General features: G+C 35.1%; 1 protein-coding gene across 3 annotated transcripts in view; it reads left to right on the plus strand.

Moving 5' to 3' along the window:
- The window catches only part of SPATA17 (spermatogenesis associated 17), a 240,353-nt gene that overhangs the window by 120,583 nt on the left and 97,409 nt on the right, over window positions 1-22,361 (plus strand). Inside the window, exon 7 of one of the 3 annotated variants that reach the window (XM_011509194.4) lies at window positions 19,893-20,000. The exons of the other annotated variants lie outside the window; for them this stretch is intronic. Coding sequence (XP_011507496.2) covers window positions 19,893-19,985 — 93 coding nt within the window. The 3' untranslated portion in view covers window positions 19,986-20,000. Of the gene's footprint in view, window positions 1-19,892; window positions 20,001-22,361 lie in introns of those variants that run through there. 3 annotated transcript variants of the gene reach the window in all.

Below are 22,361 nucleotides of genomic sequence, written 5' to 3' on the forward strand. Positions count from 1 at the left end.
ATGTGTGACTGGGGACAGATCCATGTGTTATGGGCCTGAAGCTTACACAATTTTGGGAATACACCTTTAAGGATAAAGTTTGCAAAGTTTCAAATAAAAGAGGATAAGTTCATTATTCCTGTTTTCTTTAGATACAGAGTCTCGCTCTGTCACTCAGGCTGGAGTGCAGTGGCGTGATCATAGCTTGAATTTGTGGGCTCAAGTGCTCTCCCACCCCAGCCTCAAGTAGCTGAGACTACAGGCAGGTGCCATCACACCTGGCTAGGTTTGTTTACATTTTTTGTAGACATAGGGTCTTGCTGTGTTGCCCAGGCTGCTCTCAAACTCCTGGCCTCAAGTGATCCTCCCACCTCAGCCTCCCAAAGTGCTGAGATTACAGGCATGAGCCACCACACCTGGCAATATTTTTTATAATGAGAAAGGAAATCATTTCAAGCACATTTCAAATTTTAATGGCCTGATAATACCCAACATCTTAAAATCTAAAAATATAGCATAGTGCTTTAATTAACTGCCTGAAACAGCTCTATGGCATTTGTTTTCTATGTTTTGACTTCATACTCTTTGATTGCTTCTTTTTTGACAATAATATTGTTATACTTTCTGAAGTGAGAAGAGGTGGATTATTTACGCTTTTGTTCTGACAACATTGATCTAAATTTTCATTACTATAAAAGTGTTGTATAATGCATTATGTTGAATATATTTTTGAAAGGAGAGTCTTCCATTTTGTATATGAAATTATGAGAATTGGATTCCCCATTTATGATTTACACATCTGAAAGTTGGAAAAATTTTTCACAGGCTAGCTTTCGGCTGTGTGCATTTTAAACCTCGCTTCTCCCCCACTTCTCACAGACTTCCATGATGAGGCACTTTAGGATGTCCTATTGCAATGAAGCCCCTGGCCCTGCTCCTTCATTCACAGTGCCTCCTATCTACACGGTGGGTGGTAGGAATATTCCTGGGAGGTATTTCTGTTTTGGGATTGCTAACAAATATTAAGTATATGTGGAAGTGACAGAAAACCCACATAAATATATTAACTAAACCTAGATTAAACATGTACCCACCTCATCTTTTTCATAGCCTGATCTGAACATGCCCACAGCCACTCTCATACCACCCAACCCACGGGGAAGTGTGATAGAGGATGTCAGAGTATAAAGAGACAGTGGCATTCACTGATATCTGACTTTTGCCAATTTTACAAAAAGCATGACCACGTGAACAAATTGCCAGGGTCCTACCCTGTGCCTTGGAAGGGGCCTATGAAAGCAAGGGGCCCCAAAGCTTAAGCTTCCTTAGTTTCACTGTTACTTCACCTCTGAGTGGACTCCATTCATGTACTATGTGAAAACCCTGCTGCTCTTGTTAAATTTGCTCAAATAAGTTTTAACTTTTGTTTCAATGTGCTATACATAATCATCGGCACACCAGATTTCAAATCCAGCCTTCAGACAATTAAGTAAACCTTATCATTTTAGGCCTATCTTTCTTTAAAGCTGAAGCACCGAATTTTCTTTAGTTCTTTCTCTTTTTTTAAATTGAAAACAAAATTTGGACATCAAACTCAGGATCAGTTTATTTTCATTTAGTAGATTCGGTGCCTTTTTTTAATTAACTTATTAGGTATGGGTAGAGATAGTTATTGGGTATTAAAAAGAATGAATATATTTTGTATATGTATATATATATGTATATGTATACATTTTTATTTGTACATATGTATATATGTACATACATGTATACATGTTATGTATGTATATGCATATATACACACACAAATACAAACATATATAAAATTTCAAATACAGTCTTAATAAAACATTCAAAAGCCAGAAAAGAATTAGGACAAAGTACATAACAAATGTAGCTCCAATTTCTTACCTCAGTGTAAAATGTTCCTCCACTTACCCCAGAACACCATATTTTAAATTGTATTGTATGCAAACAATTTATACAAGGCAAGTGGAAGTTAATTAATATTTGCTTATTTTTATTGGTTTTATATAAAACTCCTATTGGCCCAGCACAGTGTCTCACGCCTGTAATACCCAACACTTTGGGAGGCCAAGGCAGGCAGATCACTTAAGACCAGGAGTTCAAGACCTGCCTGGGCAACATGGCAAAACACCATCTCTACAAAAAAAAAATTATCCAGGCAAGGTGGTGCATGCCTGTAGTCCCAGCTACTTGGGAGGCTGAGTGGGAGGCTTGCTTAATTAAGCCCAGGAGGTCGAGGCTGCAGTGAGCCATGATCGCGCCACTGTACTCCAGCCTGGGCAACAAAGCAAGACCCTGTCTCAAAACAAACAAACAAAAAACCAAAAAAATCCTACAGTTATTGTCAAGTTAATTACAATCAATTCTGTCATTTTCTTCATTGGTTAGAAGAGATTAAGCTTTAGGTGGTTCCTTTTTTAATCACTAATTAAATTTATAATATAATAAAATCCAAATCTTAGAAACACAAGCAGTTAGGTCATTTCTTTAACTAAATCTAATGAAAGAAATGGGGCTGTAATAGTTTTGTAGATTTAAATTTTTATTTCTCTTACTATTATGGCTATTTTTCTATTTTGAGGACACTTCAGAAATATTTTGGATTGAGCCCAGTCATGAGTTAGATGCTATTATGTATAACTGATAAATAATCAGTTTGTAAGGTTTGTCAGGTTATGATTTATCCTAGCTCTTCAGTGAGATTAGAAGAATAACTTTATATAGATATCCCAGTGTCTCTGATATTTAATCCACTCTTTTAGATTGAAAAACTTCATAATCTTTCTGTTGAGTATCTGGCAGCCAGATTTTAAAATTTCAGGCTCTAGTCTAATCCATCGTCTTTTTCCTTTGATCTTTCTCTTTATTACCCTCCCTACTCTGTGCACTCTATCATGAAATACAATATGCCCTTTATATTAAAACTAGAGACTTAAGGAGAGAGATTATACTCCCAAATGTTTTCCTAAAATGAGCTCTTAACTGAGTCAATGGTTAAGATACTCAAACATTGACTAATGTGACTGATGTGGTCATTAAGGTCACTGTTAAGATCATAAGTATTTAAGTTCTGAGATCAAAGTATAGTCCAACACATGAAATAATCTATAAATTTTGGATTTTATGCAAAATGTAAATATTTTAAAATACACAGAAAGTTTGCTTATTATATTGTGTATTTGTTACAATTACAAAACAAAAAAAGAGGAATTCCAATTTTTTATTTAAAAAATATAAAATTGATTTCATTTTGGTGTGATATGATTTTAAGTATTTTAGTCTAAAATGTCAGACAGGTTTTCTGTAAAACGAATAATCTTGTCAATTGCTGTCTCTATCTACTGTATCTTTTGACAGTTAGAAATATTTTACTCAGCAATGAATTATGTTATTCATAGAGTATCACAAGAGACAGTAAAATAAAAGATGAGAAAATGAAGATGTGGAGAAGAAAGGGAAAAGAATCTTTCTTTAAATTTTAATTTGTGAATATCTCTGAGTGTAAAATAAATAAGCTGCATATCTCAGTAGCTAGTATTATGCTGAAAAACTTGTCAAAAAAATTTTTTTCTTAGTTTACAGAAAAGTGACATCTACAAGGTGCTTACATAAGGAAAAGCATGCCTAATTAGTCATTCCCTTAATGACTTGAATTTCAGAGTTTTTTCTCAAGTTTATTCAGCAATATTTTCCATTAACTTTTAAATTAATTCATGTAAACATATGTATGCATATAATTTCTGTTTTAACATCCCACTAAATAAATGTGAATCCCTTAAAATAATATAATTTTGTTGTATTTATAATACATAATTAAATAATGTTAATTATTTATATTTAGGTTCTATGTACATAAGTTAACTTACGATCATCTGTATTGGTCTTAAACTCACATCACTGAAATTATTCAATTTATTTTACCTATTTTTTTGTTTATATATCTATACCAAAATCAACCTCGTTTGCTATTATTTGAGTATTAAAATTTTTGAGTTTTCCTTGCTTTTTCAAGGCAGAATTATTCCCTTTTCCCCCTTCTATGTCTTAATAAAGCACTTGCTATTGGTTTTATGGTTATAGCTACCTCCCTCTAATGTAGGTGAATTCATAAAGGAGAACAATCATGCCATTTTGATATCTCCAGTTTCTCATACCAAAGTAGGCTCACAAGTAATATCGATTAACTAATAAATGAATGTTTTATGTACATGTCCTAATTCTGATTTAAAATAATTTTAGATACAAAACAAGACAGGCAGCTTTTATTTTAATTCCAATTATTCACTCTTTTTTTAATGAAACAAGATTGTAAGTAAAACAAAATTATTTTTAAAGCTACAATAATTTTTTAGTAACTTATGTCTATATTTGCCCAAATATATTTTTTGTGGTTTTTTTTTGAAGGACAAATCTTATATACCAAGAAAAGGCAAAGGGGAAAGCTAATATTTTTTAGACTCTGTGTGCCCCAAATTAAACCAAGTTACACAATAGATATAGGATGAAACTAAATTTCAAACTTAGCTCTGGCTGTCTTCAAAACCACGCTTCCCGTTTATGGATGGTTTCAAGGGAGCTGAGAAAGGGACTACTTTAAGAATATTTTCCTGGATTATGAGTGAAATTGTATTTTAAGAGTTCTGTTCACTTGAAAGCAACTTCTAGACAACATATTCAACATTATTAGCCTTTAATACTTTGTGGGAATTAGTGCCTCAGTTTCTTCAGAGATCAGGAGGTGGAAGAGACAATTCAGATGCAAGGCCCTCTCACAGGAAGTGAAGCAAGGCTTCATGGGTCCTTATGGACACTTCTTAGGCAATCTATTTGTCATGCCAGAAAAAGAACAATGAAGAGAGGAATAAGTGGGTACTTGTCATCTACTTAGTATTTTCATCTTTGAAATACCAGCTGAAATTCTGAAACAACAGAAATCCTGTTCAACATCCTGTTACACATTGGTTTGTAATCATTTTATGAGACGAAGGGATGTTTATAAAAATACAAATGCCTTCGACATCTCATTCTTGATCTAATTAGCAATGTTTCTTTTACTTAATGAATACTCATGACAGTTAAAAACTGAGCTTGCTACACCCCAAATGATAAAACGGAAGATTCATTTACTGGTATATTCAGTACCATCTGAGACATTAATATAGTTAATGGCAAAAGTGAGACATGATATTTGCCAAAGTGCTGTTATGGAATAATCAGGGTGGAAACTTGGCTAAGATGGGAAAGACAGGTGTTAGAGCCCAATACATAAATCCCCTTTTTCCTGCCTGATTTCAGAACCAGTGGAGAGAAAAATAAAAAAGACAGATAGTTGGAGATAAAAACATACCTCTATCTCAAAATTAGTAATGAAAGCTGAATTGGAAGTTTACATCTGAGTCAATAATGAGCTTGCTTCTATTTAGTTCCATCATTAAATCTACCCCCTGTCAGGGACAGCGGAGGAAAACTAGGCCTATCCCTGTAAATCTGAAAGGAAGTGAGAGCAAAGGATATTTGCTTCCCATAAATAGGCTGGCTTTCAAGAGGTGCGGGGAAGGGGCTAAATTAGGTTGAATCAACTCCTTTCCTGATGCACAAACTGCAAACCCACTCCTTCTTCCTTGACATACTGAAGGGCAGAGAGAAGCCCATAAAAACATGAGGAATGGGAAATATGTACTTCCCACTAACTAGATTTGTAGGGTTGGCAAGGAAGCAAGGTTAGAGGAGAGTTTTAGAATGGTAGAAGCTTGTACATGTTCGTCAGAGCTACTTGAGGGAGAAGGCCTGAAAATACAGAAGAGAAAAAAATAACCAAATAAACATGGACCCCGAAAAGGTGAAAGAGGATGCAGTGAAGATCATTACGTTGTAGGCTTAAACAAGTGGAAGAAGACCTGAACTTCTGGGTCAAGAAGGAATAAAATTAATGTAGGATCATGTAAGGATGCTTTTGTGGGAAAGGTCAGATGTTAAAGTAATTAATGTTTGAATACCTCAATATTCTGGTTGATCTTCCAGAGTAATCCTTACAAGAATGAGAGAGGGTGGAATGTTTAGTGGTACTGGGGGCCAGCTAGATTTGAAATCCACAAATAGCAGTCTGCCTGGTTATGTAATTTATTCCAGCAGTTATCAACAACCTGATATTGTAGGCATGCAGAATGATAGTAGTAATAACAGCTAATATTTATTGAATGCTTACTGTGAGCCAAGTACTCTTATAAGTGCTTTACATAAATTATTTATTTTAATCCTCACATATCCTATGAGATAGACTATTACTTCCAATTATCAATGAGACACAAAGAGATTAATAAGTAGCCCAATATCAGTGTTAGTATTTGATGGTCTAGAACAGAGCCACATGTACAATGACTACATGACACTATCGCTTAGGAAAAAAAAGCTAGCATTTGTTGAGTACTTACTTTGTGTCAACCACTGTTCAAAGTGCCTTAGCTTTTGAACAGCTGAAAGGTACTAAAGATTTAGTACCTTTAATCTTTATCAACCTTATAAGGTAGTTCCATTACTATGGAGGGGAAAACAGATACAGTGAGGTTATGTAATGCAGGCTAAAATTACAAAGGTAATAAAAGGTGGAGGTGGGAATTTGGATTTTGTTAATCTGCCTCCAGAACACATGCTCATAACCACTAAGCTCTCCTGCATAGTTGAAATGATTCTTGTTTGGGATATAGCCCAGTGGGTATGGCAAGATGATTGATGTTAGAGCCTTGCGTGATTAACATAATCAACAATGGAACTCAGATGAGCAAGGAACTAAGTGAGGGTGAAAAGGAGACAATAGATTAGGAAAGGTTGGAAGAATCAATTGACTTGAGATCTCCAGGGAATGAACTTATGGGTAACAAGAATAAGAATATGAGATAACTAACAGACCAGAAAGTTGTGGTAAGAGGGTGAGATATTGATCTTTAAGGTTATATAATTACACAGAGCAGTCTGGATGATGGGGATGTATGAGGTGTGGTCACCATTCCATTTATGTGAAGGTCAGTGGGCATGAAGGCATCAAAGAACTATGAGGCTATAATATTGGGATGGGTTGCCATCTGTATATGAAATAACCTAAAATTATCCAGGAACATGCAGTAAAAAGGAAGACTGGACCATGTGCCAAAGGCTATTGTGAATATGGGGGAATAACCAGCAAGTCAGTTTATGATAACTACAATAGGGAAAAACATGAAATATTCAGATTACAAAAAAGTAGATGAAGCTGGGCATGGTGGCTCACGCTTGTAATCCCAGCAATTTGGGAGGCCGAGGTGGGTGGATCACCCAAGGTCAGGAGTTCGAGACCAGCCTGGCCAACTTGGCAAAACCCCGTCTCTACTAAAAATACTAAAATTAGCCAGGTGTGGTAGCAGGTGCCTATAATCCCAGCTACTCGGGAGGCTGAGGCAGGAGAATCATTTGAACCCGGGAGGCGGAGGTGGCAGTGAGCCAAGATTGCACCATTGCACTCCAGCCTGGGCAAAAGAGTAAGACTATGCCTTAAAAAAAAAAGGAAAAAGTAGATGAGTACCACATTGAAAGTGGCAATGGGGAACTGAGTTAAGGAAAACCTTTCTGTGGTGACTGTGATACAAAGGAATACTAAAATGCTTTGCTCAGTATGGCAGCAAGGGAAGTGGTTTTCTAGAGGAGCAGGAAGTTCATTTATAATAAAAATACATTTATTGAAAAGTTTGAGGCAGAGGGAGATTGTTTCATATAGACGGAATAGGGGCTCCACAGGGCATGGTTGAAAATATTATAGGCAAGGAAATCAGAAGTCTTCAGAAAAGTAGTGCAGTAGTTTGAGAACGAGTATACCAAAGAATAGTTAAAAGAGAGATATTATTAATTAATTTGGCAGAAAATTATTTGGTCATAAGCAATTTGACTAAAAAGCAAATGGATCAATAGTTGCTTGATCCAACCATCTTCTGCTGTGGATAAACTTAAGTTGCTATACTGTCCTTATTTTAAATACTACAGTAATGATAGACTGAAAGTAAATTATGTATTCGAAAGTACAAAGGAAGAACTATTTTCTCAAATTTTGAAAAATGGAAAAAATAAAGACATATACAAGCAACCCAATAGTACACCCAAAAATCCAGAGAGTAGAGCTTTTGCTCATTTTACAGATTGGTTTTTCGATCAAAATTTGTATTGACCAAATTATTTTTGCTCTAATTACTTTGTGACCAAATTATGTTACCACCAGAGAGACTTAAAGTTTGAGTGGTGATAAAAGATAACTGGGTTGTGAAGAATAGTTATATTTTCTGGGCTTTCTACTATCAAATAGTTGAATTTTCTGGGCCTTCTACTATCAAGATCAGAACAAAATAGGAAAACAAAAGATAATCTAAAAATATACAATTTTATTGAAGGATAACATACAGAAAAGTGAAAAAAATTCTAATCACTTAGCTCAATTAATAATCACAAAATGGCAGGTATAATCTATATCTAATAGATACTTTAATAATTTTCCTGTAAGAAGCCACAAGTTTATAGAAGAAGACTATATAAGGGCTCAGTGTTCTGAAAATCTTTAACATCTGGATACAAGATTGTGGCCAGTCAGATAAGGGCAATATAGCATTTCCCCCTGAGGCATTCAACCATACTTGATGAAACCTAAAATGGCTTCTTCCTTCTTCAAAGACTGGTGGGAAATCAGTTTTTTGCAGAATCCCATATAACACTAGAAATAAAGTTTAACAAATGCCCAATTATATTATTACATTTTCTTTAACAAAAGAAAATTTTCGTTCACTTGTCTAGTTCTGTAATTCTGGAGGTTTTTCTTTCAGCACCAAATTATCTTGGAGGCTATCTTTTAAACTCAAACTATGAAATCATTTGGAAGTCAAATCACCTGTAGAAGAATCCAAGTAAGTGAAAACACTAGGTATCCAGAGGAAAAGAGTATATAATAGAAGGTTTGTAGGAGGATGGTGGTCATAAAAACATATTTTGTGATTTTCTTCTATTTTTCTTAGGGCACACAGTCATTGTTAGTATGCCTAATAAGCCAGCTCAGAATACGTAGAAATGGTGCATAAGGGAGTCATAGTGAAGTCTAGAAATCACTATGGGATTTGATATCCACTTCTACTACTCTACTGAAAATAACTCTTGGTAAGGCCACCAGGAATCTCCTAAGTATAAACATGTGGGACCTCTCTGAGATCTGCACACTGCTCATCACACTTCAGTTCTCGAAACCTCCTTTGGCCTTTGTGACATTATGGTCATCTTTTTCTCCTTCTCTGGTCATTTCTTCTCAGTCTTCTTCAGTAATTTCTGTATGTCTGGTATATTGTGATGTCATATGGGACTATTTATAGTTCTTTAGTTCCAAAGTTATTTAAAGGTTCCGTTACTTTGCACTCTTGTTGTTTTCTGAGAATGCCTTGCCACACCTTATACACCAAACTCCTTCTCTTCCTTCCCGATACTGCTCAAACACCAGGCATCCTAACTCCACAGAATAGTGTACTTCCAATATACATATACATATATATATCTCTCTCCACATCAACATTTATCAGAATTACCTAATTATTCATAAACTTAGCAAGATTGTGACTCAAATGGAAGAGCAGGAATCAGTCTTGAGAGGTTGCAGATAAAGGAGATCAATGAAGCCATATTGGAGGTAGAGGGTGGACTAGGGGTAGGGGTAGGGCGTTAATAGAGTTTAGAGAAAGCAGCAAGCCTAGAGAAATTGCCTAAGCAAGAAAACAAGCAATTTTAGTTTGTTTTTTTCAAGGATCAGTAAAATAGTGACCTGATATTTACATGTAAAGAGAGAATTGTTTAGTGAGGAAGATGTCCCAGAAAGTTCTTTAAATGGAATCTTTCTTGCAAAGTCTTTCAAAATGCAGTAGGGTTGAATAGAAATCCCCTTTCTTTTCTCACATTCATTGAATTACAGTATAATATCAGCCACAAGAACACAATCTGCTGCTGCAGAGGTCACCCGTCACCTTCTGATTACCATTCCAGGTGTGCATTCTCCGTCCTCATGCTGTTCCACCTCTTCGTAGCATCTGACATTTCTGACCTCCTTCATGAAATGGTCTTCTCCCTTGTGTCCTGCTTCTCCTCCCTCACTGTTTGCTCTTTTGAGTGCCCTTCATGGGCTTCTCTTCTCCCACTCATTTCTTTAATGTGCACACTCCTAAGACTTTCCCCTTGGCTCTTCTCTCAGTCTACACTCTCCCTCAGTAACCCCATCCACTTTTCACACCTTTAGCTATTTTTATTTAGAAAACACTCCAGTTGCTAGCTACGACCTCTTTTTTAAGTTTCAGACCCACTCTTACAACAATACACTGGGCCTCTCAACCTGAATGTTTTAAGGGAAGCTCAATCCTAATAACTTCAAAACAGATATTCATATTCCTCTTTCTACCTTCTCTGACTTGGTTCCAAACCCAAGCTTTTCGATGACTCCACATTCTCTTACATTCCTCTTAATTAATCCAGTATCAATGCCTTTTGATTCTACTCTATGGAATGTTTCCCCATCTATCTCATCCTTTATTTTCATTGCTCTTTTTCCTTACCTCTGAATAAGAAATTTTAATCTCTCTGTAGACCTGTGGTTTTATATCAGTTATTCAGGTCACGATAGATTGTCTACTCTATGCCAGTTATGGAGATAAGCAATAGTTAGGGTTCTCAGCCCTGGCTGCACATCAGCTTTAAAAAACAAAACTAAACTAGGCCAGACGCAGTGGCTCTCGCCCGTAATCCCAACACTTTGGGACGCCGAGGCAGGCAGATCACCTGAGGTCAGGAGTTTGAGACCAGCCTGGCCAACGTGGTGAAACCCCATGTCTACTAAAAACACAAAAATTAGCTGGGCGTGGTGGTGTGTACTTGTATTCCCAGCTACTGGGGAGGCTGAGGTGGGAGAATTACTTGAACCCAGGAGGCAGTGGTTGCCACTGCATTCCATCTTGGGTGACAGAGTGAGACCCTGTCTCAAAAAAACCAAAAACAAACAAACAAAAAACAACCCCACTAACTAAACTAGACAAATGCTCAGACACATGCTTCAAAGATTCTGAATGAGTCAATTTAGGGAAAAGCTTGAACATCAGTATTTTTCAAATTCTTCTAATGCGCAGCCAGAGTTGAGAACCCACAACTTATCATATGTAGAGGCCAAGAAAATGGACACAGTCCTTGTCCTTTTGGAAAGTAAACTGGACTTGGGGAGATAGACATTATAAAACAGTTACTCATATATGCATACAATTAGTTATAAGTGCCATGAAGAAAATGAAAAGGGTCCCATGAGAGAAAGAATAGAATAGGACAGTCTAATTTAGAATGTGTGTGGGTCATGAAAAGTCTTTCTAAAGAAATGATAATTAGTGTGAATTCTTAAGGATGAGTGTGATTTGGCCAGGCAAATAAGCAGATGGAAAAAAAAAAACATTTTTGGTGAGTTTGAGTCATGGATATAACTGGCATGTATTGAAGAAATGGAAAAAAATGTGGCTGCTGTGTAGTGAGGGATGAGAGTGGCTAAAATGAGGTTGGAACAGAAAAGAATGGGCCTTGTTAAGAATTTATGAGATCTTCTTAAGTGCATTGAAAAGCTAATGACAGCTTTTTATTAAGGAACTAAAATACTTGTTTTATTTTTATTACTTGGACTTCCTTGCAGATGGGGGTAAGCACAGCAGATGGAGAGAACCTGTAAGTGTGAAGCACTTCGGTAAAGATATTATGGTTGCTTGGACAAGGATGGTGGCCATGGATATGAATAGAAGCCTATGGATTCAAGATGTATTTTGGAGCTAGAATTAATAGAACTCGTTAGTGGGTTGGATATATGGGGTAGGGGAAAATCAGTAGTCATCATGGATGATTCTCAGGTTTTTGACTTAAGAAGCTGAGGAGCTGGTGGTGCCATTTACTTTTTAAAAAAATAGGCTTTATATTTTAGAGCAGTTTTAGATTTATAGAAAAATTGATAGGAAGTCACAGAAATTTCCTATATACTGCCTTCGGCTACACATGCACACCCTTCCCCACTGTCAACATCCTGCATCATCCAACATCCAATAAATGGTGCATTTATTACTATTAATGAACCTACATGGATACGTCATTAGCACCCAAAGTCCATAGTTTACATTAGGTTTCATTCCTGATGCTGTATGTTCTATGGGTTTAACAAATCTATAATGACATATATCCACCATAATAGTATCATACAGAGTAGTTTCACTGCCCTAAAAATCTCCTGTGCTCTGCCTCTTCATCCCTCCCTCCCTACAACCTCCGTAAGCCACTGATCCTTTTACTATCTGTCTCCAGAGTTTTCTCTCTTCCAGAATGTCAGATTGTTGGAGTCATACAGCCTTTTAAGATTGGCTTCTTTCACTTAGTAATATGCATTTAAGGTTTCTGCATGTCTTTTCATGGTGTGATAGGTCATTGTTTTTTAGTGCTAAATATTATTTCATTGTTAGAGGTACCACAGTGTATTTATCCAACATCTTAGCTGCCTCCAAGTTTTGGCAATTATGTGAACAGCTGCTGTAAACATTTTTGTGCAGGTGTTTGTGCAGAGGTGAGTTTTCAAGTCAATTGGGTAAATATATAAGAACACAATTGCTAGATTATATGATAAGAGTACGTTTAGTTTTGTAAAAAACTGTCAAACTGTATTCCAAAGTGCCTGTATCATTTTGCATTCCCATCAGCAATAAATGAGAGTTCCTGTTGCTCCACACCCATTGCTGGCATTTGGTGGTATCCAGTGTTCTGTATTTTGGCCATTTCAGTTGGTATATAATGATATTCCTTAATGACACATGATAATGACTATCTTTTCTTATACTTATTTGCCATCTGTGTATCTTCTTTGGGGAGGTGTCCAGGTATTTTGCCCGTTCTATAATTTATTTAAATTCTAGTAATTTAACTTCCAGTACAGTGTTGAAAAGAAGTGATGACAGGAGACATCCTTGCCTTGTTCCTGATCTTAGAGGGATAAAGATTCTAGTTTCTCACTGTTGAGATGAAATGGAAATTGGTCCATTTCTTCTAGGTTATCAAATTTGTGGGCATGGAGTCATTTATAATATTCCTTTTTATTACCCTTTTAATATCCATGAGATCTGTAGTAATGTCTTCCCTTTCATTTCTGATATTAGTAATTTGCATCTTCTTTCCTTTTTTTTTGTTTGCCTGGATAGAGAATAATTAATTTTATTTATCTTTCCAAAGAACCAGCTTTTGGTTTGTTGATTTTCTCTATTGATTTTCTGTTTTCAATTTTATTATTTTGTGCTCCAATTTTTATTACTTCTTTTCTTCTGCTTGCCTTGGAATAAATTTGCTATTCTTTTTTCAGTTTCCTAATATGGAAGCTTAGATTATTGATTTTATATATTTTTTCTAATATATGCATTCAATGCAATAAATTTTCCTTTAAGCCTTGCTTTTGTGAAATCTCACAAATGTTGATAAGCTATATTTTAATTTTAATTTATTTCAAAAAATCTAAAATTTTCTCTTGAGGTTTCTTTTTTGTTCCATGTGATAAAGTGTGTTGTTTAATCTTCAAGTATTTGGGAGGTCTCCAGTTTTCTTTCTGTTATTGATTTCTAGTTTAATTACACTGTGGTCTCAGCATACTTTGTCTGATTTCTGTTCTTTTAAATTTGTTAAGATGTGTTTTATGGCCCAGGATGAGTGTTCTATGTGAGTGTTTAGGTGAGTATTCTATATGAGTCTGAGAAGACTCTATTCATTTCTGATAGAGAGGTGTTGAATTCTCCCACTATAATAGTGGATTCATCTATTTCTTCCTACAGCTATCAGATTTTACCTCACATATTTTGATGCTTTGTTGCTAGGCATATACACTTTACAAATTGTTGTGTCTTCTTGGGAAATTGAGTGCTTTATCATTATGTATTACCCCTCTTTATCCCTGATAATTTTCCTTACTTTTAAGTCTGCTGTACCTGAAATTAATATAGCTACTCCTGGTTTCTTTTTATTATTGTTATCCTGGTATATCTTTCTCTGGCCCTTTACTTTTAATCTATATGCATCTTTATATTTGAAGTGGGTTTCTTTTAGACTACTTATAATTGGGTCTTCTTTTTTTATCCACTCTGACAATCTCTATCTTTTAATTGATTTATTTAGACCATTAGTGTTTAAAGTGATTATTGATATTAGTTACAGATATTAGTTGAATTAATATCTACCATATTTGATATTGATTTTCATCTGTGCCCCTTGTTCTTTGCTTCTTATTTTGTCTTACACTCTTTTTCTGTCCTTTGTGATTTTAACTGCATATTTTATGATTCCATTTCCTCTACTTTCTTAGTATGTAAGCTGCATTTCTTTTTTTTTAACTTAAATTAGTAGTTGCCCTAAAGTTTGCAATACACATTTGCAACTCATCCAACTCCACTTTCAAGTAACACTATACCACTTCATAGGTAGTACAAGTACCTTATAATAACAAAATAATTATCGTTTCTCCATCCCATCTCTTATATTATTATTGTCATTTATTATACTTATACATAAGCATTTATATGCATATGCCTCATAATTGAATACCTTGACGCTATTATTTTGAACAAACTGTTCTCTATTAGATCAGTTAAGAATAATAAAAATAAAAGGCTTTATTTTACCTTGATTTATTTCTTCTCTGATCTCCCTTTTTTTAAAAAAATGTAGATCTGATTTTTTGGCCTATATCGTTCTCTTTTTTTTTTTTTTTATCTTGTCTTTTCTCAACTCTTACTTTAGGTTCACGGGGCACACATGCAGGTTTGTTATATGGATACATTGTGGGTTGTTAGGGTTTGATGTACAAATGATTTTATCACCCAGGTGGTGAGCATAGTATCTCATAAGTAGTTTTTCAGTCCTCACTCTTCTCCTTTCTTCCCCTTCAAATAGGCCCCACTGTCTATTTTTCCTGTCTTTGTGTCTATGTGTACTTAATGTTTATCTCCCACTTATAAGTGAAAACACTGTGATATTTCATTTTCATTCTCTCTGAAAACTCCTTTTAATATTTCTTGTAAGGCATGTCTACTGGCAATAAATTCTCTTAATTTTTCTTTATCTGAGAAAGTCTTTATTTCTCCTTTATATTAGAAGGATAATTTTATAGGGTAGAGTGTAGGCTTGTGGCATTTTTCTCTAAAACTTTAAATATTTCACTCTATTCTCTTCTTGCTTGCATGGTTTCTGAGGAGAAATTGGATGTAAAATTCTTACTTTGCTCTTAGGGTAAGGTGTTTTTTCTTTGTGTCTTTTCAAGATTTTTTCTTTACCTTTGGTTTTCTGAGATTGAAAGTAATTTGCCTACTGTGGTTTTGTTCGTTTTAAAATTTATCCTACTTGATTTTTGTTGAGCTTTCTGGGTCTGTGATTTGGTGTCTAACATCAGTTTGGGTAAATTCCCAGTCTTTCTTGCTTTAAATATTTCTTCTGTCCCTTTCTCTCACTCTTCCCCTTAGGTTATTTTTATTACACATATGTTATACCTTTTGTATTTGTCCCACAGCTCTTGGATATTCTGTTTCATTTTTAACAACTTTCTTCTGTGTGCTTTTCCATTTTGGAGGTTTCTATTGACGTATCCTCAAGTTCAGAGATTCTTCCTTCAACCATGTCCAATCTACTAATAAACCCATCAAAGCCATTCTTCATTTCTGCTACAGTGTTGGTTCTTTAATAGTTTTCCATCTCTCTGCTTACATTGGCCATCTTCCTTGCATGCTGTGTACTTTATTCATTAAGCCCTTAGCATATTAATCTTAGTCATGGTAAATCCTGGCCTGATAATTACAACATTCCTGCCATATCCGAGACTCGTTCTGATGCCTGATTTGTCTCTTTAACTGCCTGTGTTTCCACAGAGGCTGCATCTTCAAGTTTCACACACTAGTATGGCTTGCTTCAGGCTTTTTTCTGAATTTACCTTTTAAAGGAAATGTGGGCCCGGCGCAGTGGCTCATGCTTGTAATTCCAGCACTTTGGGAGACTGAGGCAGGCAGATCACGAGGTCAGGAGATCGAGACCATCTTGACCAACATGGTGAAACCTCGTTTTTACTAAAATACAAAAAATTAGCCAGGCATGGTGGCACACACCTGTAAACCCAGCTACTCAGGAGACTGAGGCAGGGTAATCACTTGAACCAGGGAGGCGGAGGTTGCAGTGAGCCGAGATCGCTCCACTGCACTCCAGCCTGGCGACAGAGCAAGGCTCCGTCTCAAAAAAATAAATAAAGGAGATGTGAAAAACAAGAGATTCTCATTTTATACAGAATTAAGTCCAAATTTTCAGCCTTCTAGAATCAACCCCAATCTTTACAAGCTCATCGCTAACAATAACCTCATGCTTAAACTGGCCAACTTCATGTTTCTTTAACAGAGGCATATGGTTTCCCACAACCATGTCTTTATTTTTTATAATTATATTGGTCTTGAATACCTTTCTTTTCTTTATCGCAAAGCTCTACCCATCTTTTTTTTTTTTTTAAGACGGAATTTCACACTGTCACCTGGGCTGTAGTGCAATGGCGTGATCTCAGCTCACTGCAACCTCCACCTCCTGGGTTCAAGCAATTCTCCTGCCTCAGCCTCCTGAGTAGCTGGGATTACAGGTGCCCCACCACCACACCCAGCTAATTTTTTGTATTTTTGGTAGAGATGGGGTTTCAGTATGCTGGCCAGGTTGGTCTCCAATTCCTGACCTCATGATCCACCTGCCTCGGCCTCCCAAAGTGCTGGGATTACAGACGTGAGCCACCGTGCCCGGTCAGCTCTACCCATCTTTAGAACAAATTTGAATATTTTTTACACAGAACGTATACTTTTACTGCAGCCTTTGATGTGTACCTCTTCAAAAGTTATTAGAGGGCGCTTACTACTGGCTAGTTATGTAATAGTCAATCACAAAACCATTCTCCTAATCCCTTCCACCCCCGCCACTGAGAAGAGCTTGATGGGAGTGATGACTTTTTATTTGCCTCTATGCCTATTTTGGATCTAGCAAAGTGGACCCTTTCTCAGTATTCTATTTAAATTTCTTCATTTTGACAAACATTTCATTAGGATGTTTAATGTATGATCATATGGAAGAAGATATCAAAAAGATTGCTAAAGATATACATTTTAGTTAACTAGCTACATCAAAGGAAATATTTCATTTGCAATATTTATTTTCCATCATGTGAGAAAAAAAATCAAAGTGTACCTTTCGTATATGAAATACATGAGGAAAAACGAATGTGTTCCAGAATGAAGATGGTATAGCACTATAGTTAGGGGAACCTTCTAAAGGTGAATTTTCCAATAGATCTGCTTTCCCCTTGCACTATATCCCTCTGAGGGGTTCTAGACTTCTCCAAACAAACTCAAGCTGAATGCAGTTATTATTTTTGAAATACCCTCTTATCTGCACCCCTGAGGAACTCAGGAAGAATGGTCTTAGAATAAGCATATAAACAACCTCATGATCTTGGCTGAAATGCCCCTTTTGATGGTGTTCTTTAGGGCTGGAGTTCTTGGAAGAGCTCCAAATGATCTCTTCAAGTTACTTTTTCAACTTTCTGGGATCCGCATTTAATGTGACCCCACTCAGTAGTATGGCTCAAAACATTTAAAAATTCCTTCTTAACTAAAGTAAAACAAAGAAGACTAAAAGCATTTGACATCAGTAATAGTTTTTTAAAATATTTCTTTATATAGATAAGTTCTGACCAGATGTATCCTTTGTGAATCCCTAATGTTTCCATGAAATTCCTATTCCTTCTGGGGTACTATATCTGAGGGTTAACTATTGTCTGAAATAACTGCTGTAGCTGAGAAATGACCATGTTTCCTTTTAGTTCTTAGCAAGAGTAATTGAATGTAGAATATCTTACTAAATGCTAGATTGTGACAGTGTGTTAACACTCTGACTATCTCCTAACAGCAGGGCAATTATTTGCTGAGTGGGATTTTTATAAATCCTCTGGCAGTAGTATGTCCTGATAATTATGATGAAGTACATTGGTCAGTGTAGATTCAGCAGTCCCTACCCTAGCAAATATTTCATTCACAGTTCTTTGGCCACTTGTACTTTACTAGTTATTAGAGAGAGATCTTTACTACTCTTCCCTACTGGCTTAGTATATCATTTTTTAAAAGCAAATGTGATTTAAAACATAGAACCCAAACATATTTTAGACACACCTCCTTTAAGAACTGTTTCTCTCTCGTGGTATTCAGAAATTTTTAATCAAGAGGCAAGAAAATAGTTTTAAATTTTATTCCTATTTGTGGTCAGCCACTCTTTTTTGCTGCGTAATTGTCATTTGTGAAAGTAAAACTTGAATTCTTCCACCTATCCTGAATACTTAATCATTCTTCATACCCGGAATAAACAGTTCCTTGGAAATCATGAGAAATTGTTATTTCTGTTATGGTAAAATATGAAATTAGAACATTAGTAATTGTGATCTGGGAATTGTAGGTGTACACTATCCTGTGTCTTATTCTTCCTATTTCATAGAAACTTGTTTTAAAAGTACACCTTGGTAACAAAGAGAAGAGAAAAAAATTAGACTATAGCTTCCCCCAGGCAATTACAAAGTAAAGGTCAGTGTATGAGTGGAAAATGGCCATAAAAAACATTTTTCATGGAATAAAATAGTAGGTGCTCCAAATAAAACAAGTATATCCATTTCTTTTCAAATCAATTGTACCGTTTTAACACTTTTCCACATAATACTTAAGTATAAGAATAAAAACTGAGAAGAAAAGAGCCAATTGATAGATTATTAGAAATACGGAATGGTTCAAAGTATTAATGTAATGCTAGGGGTGACTGGGTAACAAATGGTACGTTTGCTCGTTGCTCAACCTGACATAATTAATATTCTAGGTCATGCTTAAGTTCCCATGATGGAGAGTCTGAAGGGGGGAATTCAAGAAAAATATGTATCTATTATATAACTCATTGCATTTTTTTTTTTTTTTTTTTTTTTTTTTTTTGCCTTTTGACGAGTCAGAATCGTAGCCTTTAAAAAAAATCAGTGCTTTCACACCTCATTTGCCACATTCACCACTGGGCCACCAGTCAGCAGCCGGGCCTGATGCAAGGAGGTCAGTAAGAAGCTATTAGCAGAGTCCTCTCCTGAGATTTCCTGGGTCTTATTGAGTTGAATGTTAGCATGACAGTACTGCAAATAACTCAGTTGTAGGCTTTTTCTTTTTTTTTTTAAACAGTTAGCACAGATTTCCCCATAGTGTTGGTCACTCTAGAAAATTATTGCTGAAAATGAAGTCCCCAAAGCTAGCTTGGCAGTAGCCCTTCTAAGTTGTGAAAAATGTGAAAACTGAAAAATATACCATAGTCCCTGAGGATTAACCCTGTCTTTTGTGACTCATAGTAATATTTTTAAAAATCAACAAGAAACCATTATTCATAAGTGGCTTACTAATGATGAAATATGGCAATTGAGACAATAGTATGTTAAGGTTGTTGTATTTATTTAAAGAAATAATAAGTAAATGAATACTGCATCAATATAAATAAATAGGGTATTTGCCTGCTCTAGGGATTGTGGGAGTGCTGGACTGTTTTTATTGACATAACTTAGCAAATGTATTAAATTAATTTCTAAAATACTGACACCTTGAAGACTTTAAATGATACATTTGAAATTCAATTAAAATATATTTTCGATCTATATTTGATTTAAATTGCAAAGAGAATACACATGAGGAGGTCTCCATATAGGTTGCAAAATATAATTTAAGAAAGCTATCATGTCTACTGATCCATTTGCATTTCCCATCTAGCCTATGTATACACGTGCATGCAAATGTGCAAGATCAAAGAGGATTTCTAATGGAGTAAAGTTAATAGCTGGTAGCGGTTATTCAGGTAGGTAGATATTTTCAAATGATAAATTTTAATCTAGCTAAATTGTATGTATTTTACCATTTTAATCTGTAAGGTTGTAGCAATGTTCATAAAAAACTAACAGACTTCAGTTTATTAGATCATCACTGATGAGAATGGTATTCTCATATCATTTTTATAGACTGTAGATTTAGTTACACTTTATGTCACAATAGTCTTTTAAAAATATAACATTTATTTTTTTCTTAGTACAATCAATAAATTCTAATCTTAGAAAATCACCCTAGAAATTATCTTTATAATTGCCATCCACTTAAAAATTACTGTCCATGGAAAGCTATTGTCTGTGTATTTACCTTGTCTATATTTACTGTTATAGTGAGAACATGTTAACATGACATTAAAAATGGTTTATATAACTGCCTTTAATGTTTTTCCACACAGTGTTTTTCTTGTATCAATTGTAATAGAGAATAAATCTCAAAGAAGAGCCAGTACAAAAATATTTTTAAATGTTTAAATGCATTTACATTAACTGCTTTGTATCCAATAAAATTTAGTCTCCAATTAAAAAATAGAAAAATTTGAGTTGGAGGTGACTCAAATAGGTCTTTGACAATGTGTTTTAAAGCAAATTGAAACTGTTCTGTTAAAAAAAAGAAAAATGGTATAATCTGTATATTCTTTGAAAGCAGTCAATACAATTCTGAAATAAGTCTCAAACTTTTTATTAAGATATTTATGTTGCTTTGGAAAGCAAGAGTGAAATAGAGGTTTTCACGGGCCTTTCTGAACTGTGCGTTGTTATTCTAGATAAGCATTTAACATTCATTTATTGAGTGCCTACTAAGTGCCATGTACCCTGCTAGGCCCTGGGGTTGCAAAAATACCTGGAACAGACTCTCTGTGCTCCAGCTTCTAGCTTGTGGAAGACATACATGCAAATATAATTTTGAAACAGTGTAATGTGATAGGTATTGTGGTGGTTATCCCCATAGTAAGGAAGCATTTGGTATAGGACACTGCGTTTGGGATAGGATGTTGCATTTGGGATAGGACGTTGCATTTGGGATGGGATGTTGCATTTGGGATGGGACGTTGCATTTGGTATAGGATGTTGCATTTGGGATAGGACATTGCATTTGGGATAGGATGTTGCATTTGGGATAGGACGTTGCATTTGGAATAGGATATTGCATTTGGGATAGGACGTTGACTCCAGCCTGGGTAGGTATTTGATAGAGGTTAACACTTATTGCTGAGTTAGGCTGGAAATTTACACTTTTCTTAGGTTTTCGAAGACAGCTATCTTAGTTAATGCTTTGGAACTGCTGATTCCATGAAGTAAATGTAGCAAAAAGGAATGTTTATAGATATGTTGATGGCATAAGAGAAATCACATTTTTAGTAAGAATGGATACATTTAATATATAGTCCAGAGTGTCTACAAAGACACCAAATAAGTCATATTGCCCTTTAAAATGTAACTTCTCCTTTTAAATATGCATTTGTGTATGATATTTACATATACACATATGTGTATATGTTTTGATATAAGGCTTCATGGAACCATATATCAAAGATTGGTATCTAATACCATTAAAATATAATACCATCAAAATTTCGTTCTATGCAGTTTGTATATTCAAACAACATTAAATTTTCAAAAATAGACACGCTAAATTTGACTTAACATTTGTCACACATACATCTATTGAAACTCTATTGTGTGGAAGGTACTCTTGACTATTTTATGCAGTACATGACAAAGTCATTGATAGAACAGCAAGGATAATACTACAGAAGCATAGCACCTAACCACGTGAATACAACTCATGAAATACAGGATGTTATTTTGAGTGATATATAATATAGTATTATAGCCTATATTATAGGTGATACCTGTAGCATTATAGGTGATACCAATTTGATTATTAAAGTACAAAAGTCAAGATAGTTGCCCTTAGTTTACGTAATGAATAATAATTAAAATAATCAGTCAAATATTTGAGTACATATTTTGTACCTGAAACTTGATCAAGCATTGTATATTTGACTTCCTGTGAGTGAATGTATGACTTACACGTATAGTTAAATATACATAGCATACAGTTAGAATACAAAATGAATGGCTTAGAGTCTTACTGTAATTTTTTCTTAAGTATAGTGATGTAAAAAGGCTGTGTGACAGATAGGAACTTGAGCTCACTAGTTTTTAAAATGTTTAGTGCTCAATTCTGAAAGATATTGAAATTGTTGGTCTAGAGTAAGGACAAGTATGAGTATTTTGTAAAATCTCTTTAGGTAAATCTGAAGTCCACCTCTGGTTAAGAACCACAGTTGTAGTTTAAAATATTCTTTAAACATAAGAAAAAATTTCATGGTACAACTCTTTCCTTTATTTC

Source organism: Homo sapiens, chromosome 1 (genome assembly GCF_000001405.40).
Source record: "Homo sapiens chromosome 1, GRCh38.p14 Primary Assembly".
In the NCBI taxonomy this organism is placed as follows: domain Eukaryota; kingdom Metazoa; phylum Chordata; class Mammalia; order Primates; family Hominidae; genus Homo; species Homo sapiens.